The 21,993-nt window shown below is 44.4% G+C and overlaps 1 protein-coding gene across 3 annotated transcripts in view; it reads right to left on the reverse strand.

Annotated features, from left to right (window-relative positions):
• The window catches only part of ZC3HAV1 (zinc finger CCCH-type containing, antiviral 1), a 66,206-nt gene that overhangs the window by 31,865 nt on the left and 12,348 nt on the right, over positions 1-21,993 (reverse strand). For 2 of the 3 annotated variants that reach the window (NM_020119.4, NM_024625.4), the window contains exons 2-6: positions 14,245-14,380; positions 8,401-8,653; positions 4,091-4,864; positions 3,173-3,274; positions 907-1,030 (exon numbers count right to left, since the gene is read on the reverse strand). In NM_020119.4, the coding sequence (NP_064504.2) occupies positions 907-1,030; positions 3,173-3,274; positions 4,091-4,864; positions 8,401-8,653; positions 14,245-14,380 (1,389 nt within the window). Of the gene's footprint in view, positions 1-906; positions 1,031-3,172; positions 3,275-3,724; positions 4,865-8,400; positions 8,654-14,244; positions 14,381-21,993 lie in introns of all 3 variants that reach the window. The other variant, NM_001363491.2, reaches the window with a different exon arrangement.

Below are 21,993 nucleotides of genomic sequence, written 5' to 3' on the forward strand. Positions count from 1 at the left end.
AAATACGGTCATATGGGTATCACCCATTTCAGCTCTTCCAGAAGGAGAAATGTTTTTACTTATTTATTTTTGAGACAGGGTCTCACTCTGTCACCCAGGCTGGAGTGTGGTAGCACAATCACGGCTCATTGCAGCCTCAACTTCTTGGGCTCCAGTGATCCTCTCACATCAGCCTCCCGAGTAGCGAGTAGCTGGGACCACAGGTGCGTGCTACCATGCCTGGCTAGTTTTTGTATTGTTGGTAGAGACAGGGTTTCATCATGTTGCCCAGGCTGATCTCGAACTCCTGAGCTCAAGTGATCCTCCTGCCTCAGCCTCCCAAAGTGCTAGGATTACAAGCATGAGCAACCACGCTCGGCCAGAAGCAGAAATGTAAGGTACCCTCTTAGATGCCTTGCTAGAGAAAATAGCAAACATAAGGGAGGTATTAAATGCTAAAGTATACAACAAAATTCTACAGTAAAACTATATGAAATTATTCAAACCGTGTTTTTAAATTATGAAGTTAAGCCAAAGGCTCTTTTGTCCTAAATCATTTAGTACTTTTAATAGTTCTGTGATGAACTGATCAGGATACGAGCCGGACACTGAACTGTGTTTTTTTGCAGGACACAGACAACTGTCAACTAAACAAATAATCATGTCACTGTTTGTTTCATTTGAGTTAGCAAACATTCCCAGGATCTCTGGTATTAGCCAGGCTCAGTGTGACCTCAAACCCACCCAGCTGTGGTTTTCCTTCATTAACTCGGCAGGCATTTGCCATTTTTTATCTCAAGAGGTATTTCACACTCGAATGGGATTCTGATGGAAAAGTGTTTTTTTCTTTTTCCCCTGAGCCTAGCACTAATGCTTCCCTTTGATAATGTTGGACTCTTGAAAGCCAGAGTACAGCCACCAACTTACAGGTGGATTCCGGGGTTACAGTAGCCTTTCTCGATCGTCTCCATGTGCTCAAAGTCCGTCCAGGTTTTACCAATAAGCATCTGCCACCGGTAAGGCAGATGGAAGTGGACTTTGCTGCAGCTACCTACAAAGACAAAGAAGGGGTCTGAGGGACTGTTGAGCAGGGATTCTAACCAATTCAGTCAAGTTCACTGCCAGCTTTCCCCATCCATGCCTGCCCTGCCCCCTGCCAGACAGGTTCCATCTATACCAGCTGACACTGCTGTGTGTCCATTATCCAGGTTCCTTCATTACCTTGGAGACTCATCAGAAAACAAAAATTCAGGCAGAGTGTGGTGGCTCACATCTGTAATCCCACCACTCTGGGAGGCCGAAACAGGCGGATCATTTGAGGCCAGGAGTTCACAACCAGCCTAGCCAACATGGTGAAATCCTGTCTCTACTAAAAATACAAAAATTAGCCAGGCATGGTAGTGGGTGCCTGTAATCCCAGCTTCTCGGGAGACTGAGGCAGGAGAATCACTTGAATCTGGGAGGTGGAGGTTGCGGTGAGCCGAGATCACCCCACTGCACTCCAGCCTGGGTGACAGAGTGAAATTCTGTCTCAAAAAAAAAAAAGAAAAAGAAAAGGAAACAAAAATTCCCCACTGCCCCCAAAGTCACTCCACCCAGATAGAAATTCGAGGTAACCAGAAATTTAGTTACCCTTTCTGCACCCCCCCAAGTGTATGAAGCCAAAATGCTCTCCAGCAGAGGCAACAGCCTTTATTTCCTTGAAGCCCTGGCCTACAGTTCATCTCTTCCAGAAAGATTCTCTTAACGAATCTCACTCCATCCCCATCTGACTTGTATTTTTTGCATTCCTTTAGCCAGTACCCAATAGTCAGTTGGGGGTTAATTTTTTATATGTTTTTACTTACTTCACGCAGTTTTCCCATTTGCAAATTTTTTGTTTGTTTTTGTTTTTGTTTTGAGGCAGAATCTCACTCACTCTGTCGCCCAGGCTGGAGTGCAATGGCGCAGTCTTGGCTCACTGCAACCTCCACCTCCCGGGTTCAAGAAATTCTCCTGCCTCAGTCTCCCTAGTAGCTGGGATTACAGGCATGTGCCACCACGCCCAGCTAATTTTTGTATTTTTAGTAGAGATGGGTTGTCACCATGATGGCCAGACTGGTCTTGAACTCCTGGCCTCAAGTGATCCACCTGCCTCAGCCTCCCAAAGTTCTGGGATTACAGGCGTAAGCCACCATGCCTGGCATTTTATGGATGTTTTCATGCCCTACCTTAATTATAAACTTACTAAAGAGAAGGCTGCACTATGGTTTAGCTTACATCCCCCTTACATATTTGGCACAGGGCTAGGCATACAAAAGACAGCCATTGCAGGAATGCCGGCTGAAGAATGAATTGATGTTATAAGCTACAGTACAGGAAGACAGAAGATAGTTCTGTTTTTCAAAATTTGCCTTATATTATGTTTAAATTGTTTTGAAATATTCAAAATGAAGATGTGTGACAACTTCAAAACAAACAAAAAAGACAGGTTTAGACACTGCAGGGACACCCATAGAGTGGCCCTACTTGAGACTTGGCTGACTGAAAAGTACACAACCACTCATTATAGTCCACACCTCACACTTGTTAGAATGGCTGCTATCAAAGACAAACAGTGGCTGGGCACAGTGGCTCATGCCTGTAATCCCAGCACTTTGGAAGGCCGAGGCGGGTGGATCACTTGAGGTCAGGAGTTCAAGACCAGCCTGGCCAACATGCAAAAACTCCGTCTCTACTAAAAATACAAAAATTAGCCGGACGGGGTGGCACACGCCTGTAACCCCAGCTACCTGGGAGGCTGAGGCAGGAGAATCACTTGAACCCAGGGGGCAGAGGTTGCAGTGAGCTGAGATTACACCACTGCACTCCATCCTGGGTGACAGAGTGAGACTCCGTCTCAAAACAAACAAACAAAAAAGGCAAACAAACACACACAAAAAGAACAAGTGTTGGTGAGGATGTGGAGAAATTTGAACGCTTGTGCATTGCTGGTGGGAAAGAAAAATGGTATAGCCACTATGAATAATAGTTCCTCAAAAAAAAAAATTAAACATAGAAGTACTATATGATCCCCCAACTCCACTTCTGGGTATATATCCAAAAGAATTGAAAGCAGGGTTTTCAGAAGGCATTTGCACACCCATGTTCATAGCAGTGTTATTTACAATGGCCAAAAGGTGGAAGCTTACAGAAAAGTCCTTAGGTTACTCACCATTAAGCGGACAACCCTTACACAGATGGTCAAGACAAATTTCCTCTGAGTCATGATCATCCACCCTAGAAGATGTGGTACTTGTGACATCAGATAAAGAATCTATGAAACAAAAAAGGATGCATGTATGCTGATCTTAATGTTTAAACCAAAAATCAAAGCACTTGGTCTCACAATGGGAAAGAATATCTGAAATGGGGGCCATGTTCAAGAAAATTCCTATGATTTATGTTTTGCCCATGAGCATCTAGACAGCCCCTCCATAAAACAAAAATGTGGACCTCAGAGTCCTGTGAAAGCTATGTTTATTTCTTAAATCATAGTTGAAATATTCCTATTGTCAATAAATGTGGCAGTTTATTCCCTGTGGTTCTACTGGTTGGCCCTTCCCTGTCTTCACTAGTCAATCTCCTCACCAGACCACCCCATAACCAAAACCCTCTAACTCTCTACCCTTTAAGAACTGGGGAACATCCAAGGAAAAACCACCAGCCATAGCCACTCTGCTGCAGACTCAAGACACAGAGGCCCCTTTGTCCTTCAGTGACTTACACTGAGCAGAGCCTGTTGTCTTCCTTGTGAGCTCGCTGGCAGAGGAAACAGGAACCTGGGTGCAGTTCTGCCCTTGGGCCCCCCAGACTGCAGCTCTGTTGCTTGAGGAAAGGGCAGCAGGTGACTGAGGCAGAGTGCTGACTTGTGCAGGGGCAGTGGATTCCCCAGGTGTGGTGGGGACCAGGTTCCTCAGACTCTGACTTCCAGTACGTAACATATCTTTTTCTGCCTTGACTGCCATTGTTAAGCCAAAACCAGTGGCACCAGTTTTTTCTACATCAGTAGTTTTATCCACTACTTGACTAGAGCCATTTGGTATATCATGAACAAATGTACTAGCCCAAAGTGTCTTCCCTTTGTATTTACCGTTAACAAGTGCTACTCTTGGGTCAGCATCATCTGCGATTCTGCCAGTGGCCTGGACATCTCGGGAAGCAGGTCCAGCATCCTGAATCCTAGGTGATGATATTTCTCTGTGACCGCTGCTAGTGCTTTTGTAATTTAAGGATCTGGTAGAAGTTATATCTGTGGCCACTCCATCAGCATTATTATTAAAAAGAGGGCCAGGCTGGATGTCCTGAGTTCCACTTTTGCCATTGATGATCCTGTAGTCTGAGGAAAGCAAGCCTGTGCCCTTTCTGGTGGTCACAGCTTCAGGTGTTTGCAGAGAGCCAAGAGAAGAGCGGGCGGCAGGTAGCGTGGGAGAAAACACAGTCTTTCTCCTGGCGCCTTGGTCATTCGTCCAGGATGTGAGGCTCTTCCAGTTGGGGGCTGATGTTGAATTGGAAGCAAGGTAAGTGCTGCCTGGATTTCCATGCAAGAGGTCCTCTTGACTGCCGTTCTCTAAAAACCTCTGGCTTGTCCCGGCCTGACTTGTTCCTCCAAGATCAGTAGCCTTGGACGAGCCTGAGGGAGGCCGAGCGCGATCCTGACTCCCCAGATACGTGAACTTGCGGGTGAGATCGTCCACAGGCGCGTCCTCCAGGGAAGCCCTGTGGCTGATCTGATCTGGACTAGGTGTGCAGGACCTCTCAGCAGACGCTGAAGCAGACGCAAGAAATTCTTGGCTGCCCTGAAAGAACCGATCTCTACTCTTGCTTCTAGCCCTATATGCCATGTTTCTACGATGTGAAGAAGGAGCTAAGGGGAAAAAAAGCCAAAATGAAACAAAATAATGAACATTGGAGTTAATGTGACTGAGTTCCTACCACCCTTCCTCCTCTTCACTTTTGTAGCTTTGCTATCCAAGTGCTATCAAATTACTTGGCGTAATCTGATGTGTAAAAATCTTGAAGATGGGTGGTTTGACACTGACGGTTTTTTTTGTTTTTGTTTTTGTTTTAAGAGATGGAGTGTTGCTCTGTTGCCCAGGCTGGAATGCAGTGGCCCGACCACAGCTCACTGCAAGCTCGAACTCCTGGGCTCCAGCGATCCTCCCACCTGAGCCTCCTGAGTAGCTGAGACTACAGGTGCTCACCAACTGTGTCAGCTGATGAAAGAATCTTGACATTCTGCCTGCACGGCAGAGCACGTCATTCCATGGCCTAGGATGACAGTGAGGATCAGCTCTAGGATGACAGTCCCCGGCTCTCTTCTGGGACTCAAAGTAGCCCCCAAACCCCAAAACTTTTAGGTGGGGCTGTCCACTATCTCCTGGTCCTGAGTCAACGTTCATCACTGGGGTCAATGGAGAGATAGATTAGGGCAAATCAGAGAAGATTTTCCAGAAAGCATTCGATTTTGCCCATATCGTGATACGGGTGTACCTGGCTATTGACAGATTCACAATGCTCAAAGAAACCAACAGAAAATGAAACCACAGTCTAAAGGCCTGACTTTGTTTAAGCTGGAAATTTTTCCAGTTTTCTTCATCTCACTCCATAAGGCCAAAGTATATCAGAAGTCAACATCGACAAAGCAGTGTGGCCTGCAGGGAATTGGCCTTCCTCTAGAAACTTGATAGGTCACACCCTTCTGGAAGCAGGGAGGAAGGAAGGAGTTAGGGTGTGTTTGTGAGCGCGTGTGGAGTGTGTGTGGCGTGCATGCACGTGATGTTTATGTGGGGTGTGTTTGTGTGCCGGGGGTACATGTGGAAGATGTGCATGTCTGTGTTTGAGGCACATGTGCACGTGTGGTGTGTGAATGTGAGGTGTGCATGTGTGCTCGTGTGTGTGTGTGAATTGTGCTTTTTTGTGTGGGGAAGGGGTAGAAGAGACATTTTTTTTCTCTTCCAAACCCAGGGGGCAGTAGTTATGTAGTAAAAGCAAACACCCTCCTCCTGTCAAGAAAAGGCTTAACTCAGGAGATTAACTGGAAGTGAAAATATATACAGATCTTTCTCATTCACAATAAGTTTACATTGAGAAGCTACCACCAAAACCCATCCCTCCAGACATTCCTCTGTTCAGAGGGAACTGTAGTGAGAGAGAAAAAGCATTAGATATGGGATCAGAACATGCACTCTGCTACTTTCTAGTGATGTGAGGCCTTGAAAATGTTACCTTTTATTTCTTCATTACATTATCCTTCATTCTTCTAAAAATGAGCTGAGGCTGCTTGCAATAAACATTGCTTACTATTTCTGAGCCTCAGTTTCTTTACCCTCTTAAGTAAGGCTAAAAAATGACATATCTACCTTTCTTTGTGGTTTCACTGTGAGGAACAATGATGAAATATTTATTTGGGATGAAAGTCCCTTGTAAATGATAAACCATTTCCCAAATATAAGGAGGTTTAATTGTTCATTAATTTGCACAGAATCCTAGAATCATGTATTCTATCTGCTTCATAAAATTCATCTTTCCTACATCCACTTCATAAAGACATTAAAAATGAATGCCATTATATAATATGAAAATGCTTCAGAAATAGCAGCACTTGGCTGGGCATGGTGGCTTACGCCTGTAATCCCAGCACTTTGGGAGGCTAAGGTGGGTGGATCACTTGAGGTCAGGAGTTCAAGACCAGCCTGGCCAACATGATGAAAACCCGTCTCTACTAAAAATACAAAAATTAGCTGGGAGTGGTGGCAGGCACCTGTAATCCCAGCTACTTGGGAGACTGAAGCAGAAGAATCACTTGAACCCAGGAGGCGGCCGGCCATTGCAGTGAGCCGAGGTCGCACCACTGAACTCCAGCCTGGGTGACAGAGTGAGACTCTGTCTCAAAACAGGAAAGAAAAAAAAAAGTAATAGCACTTCATACTCCTTAGGATGGCTATTATTAAAAAAAAAAATCAGAAAACACAAAATGATAGAGGATGTGAGAAATTTGAACCCATGTGCACTGCTGGCAGAAATGAAAAATGGCACAGCTGCTACAAAAAATGGTATGATCGTTCCTCCAAAAATTAAACATAGAATTACCATATGATCCAGCAATTCTACTTCTGATTATATACCCCCGAGGAACTGAAAACAGGGTCTCAAAGTGGTATCTGTACACCATGTTTACAGCAGCATTATTCACAATAGCCAAACTGGAAATGGCCCAAATATCCATCGACAGATGAATGGATAAAAAATTTATAATTATATACATACAATGAAATATTCATTCTGACATATGCTATAACATGGATGAACCCTGAGGACATCATGCTAAGTGAAATAAGCCAGTCAGAAAAGGATAAATATTGTACGATTCCACTTATATGAAGTACCTAGGGTTGTCAAATTCATACAAACAGAAAGCAGAATGTTAGTTGCCAGGGGCTGGGGAAAGAAGGGAATGGGAGTTATTGTGGCTTTTTTTAGAAATTTTAAAATATTGGTTTTTTTTTAAAGAAATGGCACTGAGGACCATAAATTAAATTATACATAGTTTTGCATCAATAATAAATTTTCTGTATTAATTGTCTTGTGATTATGTAAGAGAATGGCCTTGTTCTGAGGAGATACATGCTGATATATTCAGGTGTGAAATGTCATGATATTTACATATATCAAATGCTTTAAACACCAAAATGTTCTACGTGTGTGTGAGTAGCTGCATGTATACATAGAGAGAAAGAAAGTGCTAAAGCAATTGGGACAAAATGTTAACAGCTGATAAATCTAAACAATTTTATGTTTGTTTCTTTTCCTTAAAAAAAAGCTTTGTTAATTAGTTTTTAGAAAAATGATATACACTTTTTTAAACCTGGGGGGGGGGGCAATAGTGCTAAGCATAAAAATTGAATTGCAAACACTGCATGTATACTACCATTATAATTATGTAAAAATGGTGTATACATATGCATGAAGTTTGGAAGGGAAAATGAAGAGTTTTACACGGCAAGGTAGAGTGATTATGGCAGTTTTTCTTTCCTTGTGATTTCTGCTGATTTGAAAGTTCACACAATTGGCCGGGTGCAGTGGCTCATGCTTGTAATCCCAGCACTTTGAAAGGCTGAGGCAGGGAGATTACCTTAGGTAAGGAGTTCAAGGCCAGCCTGGCCAACATGGCGAAACCCCGTCTCTAATTTATACAAAAATTAGCTGGGTGTGGTGGTGCACACCTGTAATCCCAGCTACTCGGGAGGCTGAGGCAGGAGAATCACTTGAACCTGGGAGGCAGAGGTTGCAGTGAGCTGAGATCACGCCACTGTACTCCAGCTTGGGTGACAGAGAGAGACTCTGTCTCAAAAAAAAAAAAAAAAAAAGAGTTCACACAATTGAAAAAGAAAAGGCCTTTACCTCTGGGCCCTGGGGGATTCTTCTGCATGTGCTTGCTGTTGCAGATGTCCTGGATGTTCTGGACCACGTCGGGGTTCAGCCCGTGCTCCCTCATGATGGCCAGCACCTTTCTGTCCATCAGGTTATGGGACCGGAGGCAGTTGGGAAAACGACAGTTCCCTCGGGTGAAGTGGTCACAGATGTGGAGTCTTGAACACGGTGGCTGCTGGTTACAAATCTGCTGCCGACCCTCTCCCTTATAACTTTTGCATATCTACAGAAGGGAGAAACAACAGCCAGAGTCAAAACACCTTCTTGTATTTGCCAAACATTCATTAAGGCAAGCTCACGTGTGCAAAAATCTCTGAAGCAAGCAGAGATATACCAAAGGGGGAAAAATACATGCATATTCTGCAGTCTTTGATGAGTCACATTCAGTTGGTGATTTACTTGGGGCAGAAGAGGTCCACAGACTAACCAAAAGATACTGATCAATTTGATAACCCTTGGAAGAATCAATGTAAGCTGGTTAGCTACAAACAGGACCCAAAGTGAGCCCTATATCATGAAGGAACCCAGCACAGGAAGGCTCATCTTTGGTTATCAACTCACTTTGCAATGAAAAGGACATGTGGGTCTTACCTGCAACTGTTTGGAAATCCAAAATTTAGACTCTGCTAGGCAGAATGACATTTCTCAAAAGATTGCCTAAAGAAGATAAGTTTTGTATTTCCATCTAAATAGATACATGTACGTGACTAGCTCTGAAGAGATGTAGTCCCTACTGGAAAGAGGGCAGAGAAAATACTGCAGCTGAGGCCACGCCATATGATACAGAACTGGAGGATGCTGGTTTTAAAATCTGAGGCCCTGGAAGCAGCTGTGTGACCTCAAGGGATCCCTTACCTACTCTTAGCCTCCGTTTCCTTTGCTGTAACAGGAGGAAAAGATTTGTTCTGTCTACAAAAACCAAGTTGTTAAGCAGACTAAATAGCAAAATTTGTAAATGCGTTATGCAAAATATAAAGTGTGATGCACGTGTTTGAACCATGAAATGAGGAAACCAATATAATTAGTAAGAAACCTGAATTTCAGACATTTTAATGAGTCACTTCGATAGACTCTGAGCAAACCAGATCAGTATGGTTCACTGTGATCTGTCTAGATGGCAAGCCATGATTCAAACCCCACTAGCAATGATTTTGCCACATGGATAATCGCTAAAACCTGATTCAAATAGATATATGTAACTGCTATCAAGTCTATGATCCAGATTCTAGACTCTAGACCAGCAATTCTCAAAGTGTGGTCCCCGGACCAGCACCATCAGCACTACCTGTAAATTTGTTAGAAATGCAAATCTTCAGGCACTTGCCCATATCTATAGAGTCTGAACCATCAGAGGTGGGGCCCAACAGTCTGTGTTTTAACAAACCTTCTGGATGATTCTGATGTCCGCTAAAGTTTGAGCTGTAGCAAAAAAGCACCATTAGCAACTTCACAAATGATGTTTTGGTAACATTCCTATTCCCACGCCGATATTAAGCAAGAATGCTCCTGCCTTCATTAGACCAGAACAAATGAAAGCATTTCTTCCTTTAAGAAGCACATTTCAATTGTACAAGTTTATATATCAGGCAGTCAGGTTTGCCTGATCTTTTTATGTTCTCACAAGTCAAAGCAAAATGAAAAAGTGTGAATACGTAGTTTTTTAGGGCTGAGTGTGTGGCTTCCCACTGGTTACCTCCAGTATTTTAACATTGTGACTAACACTTGCAGGTGCTTTTAAATGTTAGTTGAATGAATGCAAAGCAATCAATGAAGTGACTGGAAACATTTCACTGTGGTCCCCATCTCACACCCCCTAAACCACAAAGCTGTTTCTCTGCACTGCCTCTTACACTTAACTTCGCCCCTCTCTTCCTCCTCTTTCCTTCTGATAAAATCCAAATCAGCCAGGCACAGTGGTTCAGGCTGGGCATGGTGGCTCACACCTGTAATCCCAGCACTTTGGGAGGCTGAGGCGGGAGGATCACCTGAGGTCAGGAGTTTGAGACCAGCCTGGCCAACATGGTGAAACCCCATCTCTACGAAAAATACAAAAAATTATCCGGGTGTGGTGGTGTATGGCTGTAATCCCAGCTACACGGGAAACTGAGGCAGGAGAATTGCTTGAACCCGAGACGGAGGTTGCAGGACCTGAAATTGCACCACTGCACTCCAGCCTGGGAGACAGAGTGAGACTCCATCTCAAAAAAGAAAAAAAAAAAAATCCAAATTGCCCAAACAACAGCTGCAAATCTGCAGGGATAATTCCTCCATCTTTAGAGAGCCATCCTGGACCAACTCTTCTTGAAATTAGCTGAACTCTGGCTGACTCCTCCTGCCAAAGCCCTATGAAAAAATTCCATCCTACTCCCCTAAGTTAAAACACTCCTTTAGAGCCTTCTCTTGCCCAGCATTCTTGAACAAAAACTTATACCAACAGTACTAACTCATGCTAACTCCAGAAACCAGCTCCTCAGACCTCTAGTTCAGGAAATAATGCAGTCCCCCATTCTGGGATCTTAACTCTGACGAGTGGAAAACAGCAATTAAATTATTAGCTAAAAATAAGCTTCAGGCAAGAACCTCCCCACCCCACCCCACCCTCTAATTGTGGGTACTGAATTCTAACAATGGAAAGGGAGCCTTGGGTGATGCTGACCTCTTGTTTGCACTGTTTGATAAAAGTATGATGACAACATTTTCCTATAGGGACCCTCACAGCACTGTAGTCAATGGGCTCTTCTGGGATCCCTTACACAACAGTGCCTTGTCTTAGGTTCATATCTGCCGACCTCCTCCCTAGAAAAGGGAAGTGATATGGTTTGGCTGTGTCCCCACCCAAATCTCATCTTGAATTGTAGTTCCCATAATCCCCACGTGTCATGGGAGGGACCTGGTAGGAGGCAATTGAATCATGGGGGCAGTTACTCCCATTCTACTGTTCTCATGATAGTGAGTTCTCACAAGATGTGATGGTTTTATAAAGGGCTTCCCCCTTTGCTTAGCACTCACTTCTCTTGCTTGCCACCATGTAAGATGTTCCTGTTTTGCCGTCCACCACGATTGTAAGCTTCATGAGGCCTCCCAGCCATGCAGAACTGTAAGCCAATTAAACCTCTTTTCTTTATAAATTACCCAGTCTCAGGTATGTCTTCATACTGCATGAAAATGGACTAATACAGGAAGACTGTCCTTATTCTCCAGGAACTCAACGTAGATGTGTGGCCCGATGTTAAAAGTACCTGTTACTTTTGAAGAACTGAAGCAGCGATCAGACATGATGAATGGCCTTTCTAAGCCTCCGGGTTAACACTAGACTAAGGATAGACCACAAAACACCTTCTCTCAAGTGCCATGACAAGACTGCATCTTGTCATTCCCTCAATGAAAGAAAAAGGATGATATGTCTCTGATCATCAGCAGGAGCTTTAACGGGAATGATGTGTAAGGCATTTTTCCCGTGCTGGTAGTCATGGAGGACTGGGTTAGTACCTAGGCCAAGGGCCATAGATATCCCAAGACAAGACCTTTAAACCTTGGACTCCTGGAAATGAGACAGAGAGAGACAGAGAAAGAGGGAGAGAGAGAGAGAGACAGAGGGACAGAGACAGAGAGAGAGAGAGAGAGAGGGAGACAGAGACAGAGAGAGAGAGAGAGAGGGAGACAGAGAGAGAGAGAGAAACAAACCCAAGTATCTAGATAGAAGAATGCACGGGGCTGGAGAGCAAATGGGACATATTTTCCTCCCCCAACCCCCAACAAGTCTTTATAATGTGTCTTGCATTCATATCTCTCCTGAGCTCAGTGGCCAACTCAAAATCACTTCTCATGTTATAAGATTTTTAAGTTCTTAGGGAAACACACTGAGTTCAGAGTCAAAAAGTATTTAAGCCTCCAGAAGTCCCCAACAGCTATCTCATTGTGTATAAAAGTGCATCTGAGCTGGGTGCAGTGGCTCGCACCTGTAATCCCAGTACTTTGAGAGGCTGAGGCAGGAGGATCACTTGAGCTCAGGAGTTCGAGACCAGCCTGGTCAACATAGTGAGACCCTGTCCCTACTAAAATTTAAAAAAAAGTTAGCCAGCTATGGTGGTGCATGCCTGTAGTCCCAGATACTTGGGGGGCTTAGGCAGGAGGATAACTTCAGCCCAGGAGGTCAAGGCTGCAGTGAGCCCTGATCATGTCATTGCACTACAGCCCGGGTGACAGAGCAAGATCCTGTCTCAAAAAAAAAAAAAAAAAAAAAAAAGAAAAAAGAAAAAAAAAGTGCAACTGAATTTCAACTTTACTTACATTTTCTCCATCCCTTCCACTCACCCATTATGTTTCTATGCCTCTCTTTAACTGTGAGGCTAACTTCTCTATTCATGGATTTTATCCAGCCAGATACCAGGCTTAAACAGTATTCTCTGATCCTTAAGTCTATATTCCTGAGTGGATGAAACTGTTAATTATCCACCATTGTCCCCGTCTTTCTTCTAGTAATAGAAGCTCCCAAGTTTTAGGTAGACACATGGTTACCCAGACAGAAACTACATTTCCCAGACTCCCTTTCAGCTAAGTGTGACATGTAATAATCTCTGGTCAATGTGATTGAGCAGATGTGCCATATACAATGTCCATGTCACATCTTTTAAAAAAGGAAACTGCTTGCCTTCCATTTACTTCCTCTCTACATTTCCACTGGCTAGAAAATGGTGACAGTGAGTACAGACTCATTGTACACAGAGACGGAAGCCACATTTTGAAGATAACAGAGCTGACCTACTGACCTGAGCCCCTTGATGACATCATTGAGTCTAGCTGCCCAACAACTCAGGCTACCCCCCTGTCCATATGCAGGAAAGACCAAGAGTTGGCAAATCTTTTCCATAAAGGATCAGATAGTAAATATTTTAGGCTTTGTAGGCCATTCTGTTTCTGCTGCAACTACTCAACTCACCCTTGCAGGGTGAAAGCAGCCATAAACGAATAGGTGTGGTTGTGTTCCAACAAAACTTTGTTTATAAAAACAGGCCGGGTATGGTGGCTCACACCTGTAATCCCAGAACTTTGGGAGGCCAAGGTGGGCAGATCACTTGAGGTCGGGAGTTCGAGGCCAGGCTGGCCAACATGGTGAAACCCTGTCTCTACTAAAATATAAAAATTAGCCGGGCATGGTGGCAGGCACCTGTAATCCCTGCTACTTGGGAGGCTGAGGCAGGAGAATTGCTTAAACCTGGGAGGCAGAGGTTGCAGTGAGCTAAGATCGTGCCACTGCACTCCAGCCTGCGCAACACAGCGAGACTCCATCTCAAAAAAAAAAAAAAAAAAAAAAAAAAAAGGGTGGCAGGCCAGATTTGGCCTCTGGGTTATAGATTGCTGACCCCTGACCTAGATTATCAAGAGATAGAGAAACAAAATTACATTTTATTTGAATCACTGTATTTTGAGGGGGTCTCTGTTACAACAGCTTAGCCCATACCCTCATCTTCCCCGCCAACTTCCCAACCTCATTCCAAAGTCCATCTCCTCCAAGAAGCCACCTTGATTTAAAGCATCAAGTAGTCTGACTACTATCAGATCTTCAGCTCATACTTACTCACACAGGGTTCCCTTGCAGCCCAGTGGAAGAGGTATTCCAGACTCAAATTCTTATAAAACCTCAAATAGGAGAGAAATTTCTGGGATCTCTTAGTTCACTCAATAACAGCCTCGACTACCACCTGCAGAACCCTGGCATTAATTTTGAATTTTCTCTGCTCCTACTCCAAAATATCTGTGACACAATACTGCCAGTAATATTCTCCCTCCTTAAACTGAGGAATCACAACTTACCTCGGGCATAAAAAAAGGATCACTTTGGAGGAGGAGCACTGCTAATTCCTCTTTGTTCAGTCCAGAGAGTTCGTGATTTTTCAGGACTTTGAAGTTCTCTTCTGAGAGAACCTCATGAGAATATTTGCATAAATTCCTGGAAGAAAACACGACAATGGTCAGTATTTCTACTACACAGATGCAAAGAAACAGAAATCAGCCATAAAACTTTCAGTCTGCAAAGACCCGTGCCCATATTCTCTGACAACAGACACAGGTTGGTTCTGCTTAAAGAATACACTATATTTATTTATTTTTTTTACTTTTTTTTTCTGAGGCAGAGTTTTGCTCTTGTCACCCAGGCTGGAGTGCAGTGGTGCAACCTCGGCTCACTGCAACCTCCACCTCCTGCGTTCGAGCAATCCTCCTGCCTCAGCCTCCCGAGTAGCTGGAAACACAGGCACGCACCACCACACCCGGCTAATTTTTTGTATTTTTAGTAGAGACGGGGTTTCACCATGTTAGCCAGGCTGGTCTTGAACTCCTGACCTCAGGTGATCCATCCGCCTCAGCCTCCTAAAGTGCTGGGATTACAGGTATGAGCTACCACACCTGGCCCTTTGTTAACATTTTAAATATACTTTAAATATTAACAGTAATTTTTCATATCATTGGCTTACACCTTTTCAAAAAACTCCTTAGTGTGCTTAACTATTCTTTTCTTTGATCCTCCCTCCTTGGCCTCCCAAAGCACTGGGATTACAGATGTGAACCACCACACCCAGCCTATTATTTTCATTATAAACATTTTATTAGGGAATAAAATATGTCAATTTCCATAAAACAGTATATTGGGAATTTAATTTCTATTAACTCCATAAATTAGACTGGATATTAAGTATATCATGTTAATTTCATTAAATCTTCTGATTCTGGAACAGAAAATATCTCTCCATTTATTCTGTTTTTTCCTATCGTGAATTTAAATTTTTCTTTTAATAGTTCTCCTTCATTTCCAAAATATTGAATATTATCGGTTGCACTATTATTTTTTGTTTGTCACTGGTAAATAGAAATGCAAAATGATCTTATTGAAATTGATGAATTTTTGAAAATGTAAACATCTAGGTAAAAGTTATTCTCTAAGAATTAATTTTTAAAAGTCACTTATTCAATGCTATTATTTGTGTGTAAATCATGTCTGCAACTCTCTAGATTGCCTTCAGATCTTACAGTGTAACCTCATATGAAAAAATAGAGAACCAAGGACTCTGTCAACCAGGAGCCGAGACCTTGAAACCCGGCCAGCCATCCGTGTACCTTGCCTCCTGGAGAAGTCAAGGCCAGTCACTCAGGCTCTAGCGACAGCCTCTATCCTAGCCATTCTCCCAGGCGGGCCCTTTCCTTGCTTTCTCCACCCTGTGACCCTGGCTTCCTGGCACTCCTTGATAAGGTCGACCTCAGCTTTTTGGTCCTGCACTGTGGTTTCAGATAACCAGTCCCCGCCAGCCCCCACCCAGAACCCTCAGCAGCTGGGCTAAGACTCCACTTTATCAATCCCGGAGGAAAGACTCCTACAGCAAGAAGGGCCTTTGAAAAGTAATCCCCTCCAGCAGGCCAGGCGCGGTGGCTCATGCCTGTAATCCCAGCACTTCGGGAGGCCGAGGCGGGCGGATCACGAGGTCAGGAGATCGAGACGTCCTGGCTAACACTGTGAAACCACGTGTCTACTAAAAATAGCTGTGGTCCCAGTTACTCGGGAGGCTGAGGCAGGAGAATGGCGTGAACCCGGAAGGCGGAGCTTGCAGTGAGCCGAGATCGCGCCACTGCACTCCAGCCTGGGCGACAGAGCAAGACTCTGTCTCAAAAAAATAAAAAAAGAAAGGTAATGCCCTCCAGCCTCCACCTCAAAGCAGAAGTCCTCTCTATGGTGGATTGACCAGATGACTGTGAGCCTCTTTATCTCACAAGGATCTTACCTCATTGTTCTGACGGCCATTAGCCATTACCATTAATGTTTTCTTTTCTTTTTGAGACAGGGTCTCACTCTGTTGTCCAGGCTGGAGTGCAGTGGCACAATCACGGCTCACTACAGCCTCGAACTCCTGGGCTCAAGCGATCCTCCCACCTAGGCCTAGGTGCTGGGATACACACTTGAGACACCGTGCCACCCTAATATTCTTCTTGATATTGAGCTGAAAATGACCTCACTGAAACTTCCCACCACAAGACAGGTTCTGCCCTCTGGCTCTGATATATTTAGCTGTTGTACTTGAGCGAGTTAGAGAAAACGCCACACTTCGAGACGAATTAGGAGTCCGTTTATTTAGCCGGCGGCCAAGAGACGGCTAACGCTCAAAGTTCTCCCCGCCCCCGAAGAAGGGGCTAGATTTTCTTTTATACTTTGGTTTAGAAAGGGGAGGGGGGGTCTAGTTAAAACAATTTTACTGAAGTAAAGCAGGCAAAAAAGTTAAAAGGATAAATGGTTACAAGAAAGTAAACAGTTCCAGGTGCAGGGGCTTTAAGACTATTACAAGGTGATAGATGCGGGACTTTGGGCGTTATCAATCGGACGAATTCCTGGGAACTGCGGATATAGCTCGCCACCATATCTTATCAGTTAATTGCATTCTTGGATGTGCTGGGAGTCAGCTTGCACAAGTTAAGTCCTTGAAGAAGGGGCTGCCAGTGAAAGAGCCAAGATGGAGTCTGTCTGGCTCTCTTAGCTAAGGGAGAGCCAATTCAGGTGGAAACAAGGCTAGGTGATTAAAGGAAAGGGAGAGTCTAAAGACAGGGTTAGTAAAAACAAGGTTGGGCATTACATAGCAACTTGTTAGTCAGAAGGAATTAAGAATCTTTGCTTCCACTTTAGCTCCAGCCCAGACGTCCTGAACTTAGAGCCAAGCCTACGGCACCTCTGCAGGTCACAGAGAGATGCAGAATTGTTCCTGTCCTGTCCTAGCTGAGGAGTGTGGCACTTCCAGGGTCCCTGAAGTCAGCACTTCCTCTAAATAACTAAAGGAAGCCAGATAGCCTAATGGGGAGCCCTCTGCCTGGAACCTCAGGTGTCCAGGCTTTTCCAAAGGTGCTCATGTCTGAAAGAAAAGTCAAAGCTAGCCCATGCTGCACTGGCTGGGGTCCGTGGTGCTGCCCACCTGGGGGCCTGGTTTTCCTTCTCATTTTTCATCTCCATCCTCAGGCAAACTTCTTATTCCTCTAGATTCTGTGATTCTCACCCTGAACCCAGTCTCAACCTGCAACATCTCTGTCTCGTCTTGGTCTGACCTGCAGCCCCTTCCCTGGCAAATTCTGCTTCGTTTTCCCACATTCCCTAGACTTCTCCCCAGCGGCTTCTTAGGGGCTTTATCTTTGCCCTAATTTCAGGATATTGATCAGCCACGAAGGTGGGGCAGTTTACACTTACCTTCTACTTGGGTTAATTACAGAAATTAACATTTATTATGCATTTACTAAGTGACAGGAACTTTACCTATGTTATTTAATTTAGTAGTCACGATAATCCTACTTTGGGAAACTGATGACTGATAAAATGAGAAATCAAAGGTGACAGATAAGAGGAAGATCCAGGAATGAACACGCATCCCAAAACACAAGCAAAAACCCAAGCCGGAAAAATGAACAAAAACAGATCTGAAACTTTTTCAAACCAAAAAAATTTAAATCGGCATCCTGAATTATTTAAGCCACTGTTCCCCCAACTATTTAAGCAGGGTGCAAGCAGAGATCGTGGACATAAATCACATAAAGGGTGTGGTAGGAACACATTATGTGATAGGCATTATTTGTTGTGATTAGTGTCAGGCCTCTGAGCCCAAGCTAAGCCATCATATCCCCTGTGACCTGCACGTATACATCCAGATGGCCTGAAGTAACTGAAGAATCACAAAAGAAGTGAAAATGGCCTGTTTCTGCCTTAACTGATGACATTACCTTGTGAAATTCCTTCTCCTGGCTCATCCTGGCTCAAAAGCTCCCCCACTGAGCACCTTGTGTCCCCGGCCCCTGCCCGCCAGAGAACAACCCCCTTTGACTATAATTTTCCACTACCTACCCAAATCCTATAAAACGGCCCCACCCTCATCTCCCTTCGCTGACTCTCTTTCCGGACTCAGCCCGCCTGCATCCAGGTGAAATAAACAGCCTTGTTGCTCACACAAAGCCTGTTTGGTGGTCTCTTCACACGGACGCGAGTGAAAATTAGTATTGTACAGACAAGCTCAGCAGCATGGGCCACGATCAGAGCTTGAAGGGGGTCATGTGTAGGTTTCAGGTGGCAGAACCTTCCTTCCGACTTTCTTCTGATCACTCTGTCCCAGCTCCAGGTGCCTAATATTGGCTAGTGGGCTTCAGCCAGGAAATAGTATGAAAGTCTCCCGTGGCCTCTTGGGGTTTGCTAAGCTAGCGATGCTGAAAATTTGGTCCCTAGGCCAACATCATCAGCATCACTTGGGAGGTTTTCAGAAATGCAAATTCTCAGGCCCCATCCCAGACATCCCAGGGTGATTCTCAATCTTTTAGGATGCATCAGCATCACCTAGACAGGAGGTCCATTAGATTCCTGGGCCCCCACCCTGGAGTGTCTGAATCAGTAAATCTAGGGTTGGAGGCCAAGAATTTGCATGTCTAACAATCTGGTTTTACGAACATACTTGGAGTATAGGCAGCTCAGGGCCACCTCCCCAAAAAGGACAACAGGTCCTACAGAAGGTTGGTTAGAAGCTGTGGGAACTCCCCTCTCGCCAGTACAAAAAGAGCTCTCCTACTAATTATTATGAATTTCCCAGGACAAAACAAGCGTTTGCAGAATGCTACCCACACTTGGAGCAGATAAACCTCAAACAAAGAGGGCGAGTTGCAGTAGGAGGTGATAACTTAAAAAAAAAAAAAAAAACAGCAAAGACATCCTTGAAAGGAGCAGAATTGTCTCTCTTTAAGGAGCTCAGGCCAAAAGCCTAAAAACAAACGACCTTTTCACTTTTCTCTTCCAGCCACAGAACAAAATGTTATTTTAGCCCAGGCAATAAGCGCTCTCTCTCACCACGGGTGCAGTCTAAACAACTAGCCTGCACAGTGATTCTCATTCCTGGCTACACATAATGATCAACTGGGCAGTGTTGAAAATAACCTAACCCTGGGCCACACCCTGGAGACTGGCTTCATCTTACTGCGGTGGGAGCCCGGGTGATTCCCACGTGCAGTCTGAGCTGAGAATCACTGGATGCGCTTGTCAGATTTGATTCTGAGTTAGATTCCTGAACTGGATGTTCACCTCGGAGCTCTTGCACTTCACAAATCGGTAAACACAGGACTAGCTCTGAACTCAACAGTCAGACCAAAAAGAGACAGTAACCCGAGTCTTTTTTTTTTTTTTTTGGACAGTAATTATATCGAAGTACTCCTTCCCTTCTCTCCTTCATCCCCTCTGCTCCCTAACACCTAATAGGGTTGGCAAAAACAAAAAGATCGTTGATTTGTATAGAAAACAGGAAATCACTCACCATGATATAAGCCAGGTAAAAAAGGAACCAGGATGTGTGAAAGATAAAATCTAGAGAACATTGAGCTAAAGAATAAAATGTCATCAGTCAAAACCAACCCTAACGCGATATTATTTTAAAGCCACGAGGCTCCTACTCCCCATATTTGTACTTCTGATATTCAAGATTAAATTGCCGTGTTATTAGAGGGTAGGGATGGTTTACTGCCTCTAGAGCCCCTAGTGAGATGGAGGAGAAACAGAATAGACCAGACGAGATCACATGAGCAGGGTAACGAAGGATGTGGGGAGACACAGAGGGTGGAGCCGAAAAAAATGAGCTTCCTTTAACCACAACTGTATTACCCAGAACACAGCAGGCACAAAGAGAGCCCCAGCTCACTGCAGAAAATGGTGAACCTAAGGCTGCAGCCACGGCAAGCCACAGCCTGCACCGAGGAGGAAGAGGAAAGCACCGAGGGCCTTGCAAGACTGGAGAGCAGAGGAGGCTGGGCCCGCTGAGGATAGGGGAGGCCGGAGGCCAAGAATCCGCACATACCCTACAGTTGTACCAAGAGTGGGACAAACAGCACCGGTGCCACCAAAATATCATCTTTCTGTTATTATGGACAGTCTCTCCAGTCTTGACTTCTCTAGTCCCCTAAGTTCATGGTTCACAAGCTTGTTGCCCATTAAAAACCATCTAGGGACTTAAAAAAACAAAATCCCAAAGTCCAATTCAAACCCTAATTAAATCAGAAGGTAGGAGACGGGCATCAGTATTTTTTAAAGATTTCCTAAGTGATCCCAACATGCAGCAAAGTTTGAGAAACATTGCCCTAGGTCCACATCAGGACTGAGAAAAAGGAGAGTAGATGGCCGCAGGTGGTGGCGTTACTGCTACAATGTTTTTTTTTGTTTGTTTGTTTTTTGAGACGGAGTTCCAGTCTTGTTGCTCAGGCTGGAGTGCAATGGCGCAATCTCAGCTCACCGCAACCTCCGCCTCCCGGGTTCAAGTGATTCTCCTGCCTCAGCCTCCCGAGTAGCTGGAATTATAGGCATGCACCACCACTCCCGGCTAATTTTGTATTTTTAGTAGAGACGGGGTTTCTCCATGTTGATCAGGCTGGTCTTGAACTCCTGACCTCAGGTGATCCACCCGTCTCAGCCTCCCAAAGTGCTGGGATTACAGGCGTGAGCCACCGTACCCGACCACCAAAATCTTGATGATCAGAGAAAGTAGTTCACACAAGCCCCCTCTCCTCTCACAGGCTGGCTTCTCCCCACCACCCGCCACAATACTTCCCAGCATAAGTCCCTCTGAAAGTTAACAAATATTAACCAGAGAGAGATTAATTAACTGGTTGACAGTATTTCAGGATCCTGTGAGTGACAAAGGAAGGGGTAGAAGCCTCTAGAATTGTCTATCATTTGTGACACAAAGTTTGTGCTCAATAAATATTTATTGACTTGGTACCTAGGATGCCAAAAGTTTCCTATGTCTTTTGGTCTGTCACATAAAAGTCATAGAACCCCTAATCTCTGAGAAAGATCACTTAAAGAAAAATCTTTCATTTATTCAGAACTAAAAAATTCATTTCTTTTACTCACTCCCTCAAACTCGAAAGCCACATAAAACTCTGCATTTGCAGTCTTCCAGGAAGTGTACCCCCAAGGAATTATATGTTTCTGAAAGTGTGGTTTGACCCCTGCAAATGGATTCTTTAGGGTGGTATTTAAAAATGCAGATCCTGGGGGCGCAGTGGCTTACATCTGTAATCCCAGCAGCTTGGGAGGCTGAGGAGGGTGGATAGCTTGAGCTTAGGAATTCAAGACCAGCCGGGGCAACATGTCTCTATTGAAAATACAAGAAGTTAGCCGGGCATGGTGGCAGAGGCCTGTAATCCCAGCTACTTCAGAGCTGAGGTGGGAGGATTGCTTGGTGGGAGGATTGCTTGAACCCAGGAGGCAGAGGTTGCAGTGAGCAGAGATCGTGCCACTGCACTCCGGCCTGGGTGAGAGAGGGAGGCTCTGTCTAAAAAAATAATAATAATAAAAATAAAAAATAAAAAAAAGAAAATTTTAAAAATAAATGAATAAAAATGCAGATTCTCAGGCCCCAACCCTCCTCTTCGGAACAGAATTTCCAATAGGTGACTTGGGAACCTGCATTTTAGTAGACTCTCCCATGTGATGAAAATGCATGTCAAAGTTTGAGAAGCACTGCTCCAAAGCTAGGTAACTGCATCCCAGAAGCTACTCAAAACAATCCA

This window comes from Homo sapiens, chromosome 7 (genome assembly GCF_000001405.40).
Source record: "Homo sapiens chromosome 7, GRCh38.p14 Primary Assembly".
In the NCBI taxonomy this organism is placed as follows: Eukaryota; Metazoa; Chordata; class Mammalia; order Primates; family Hominidae; genus Homo; species Homo sapiens.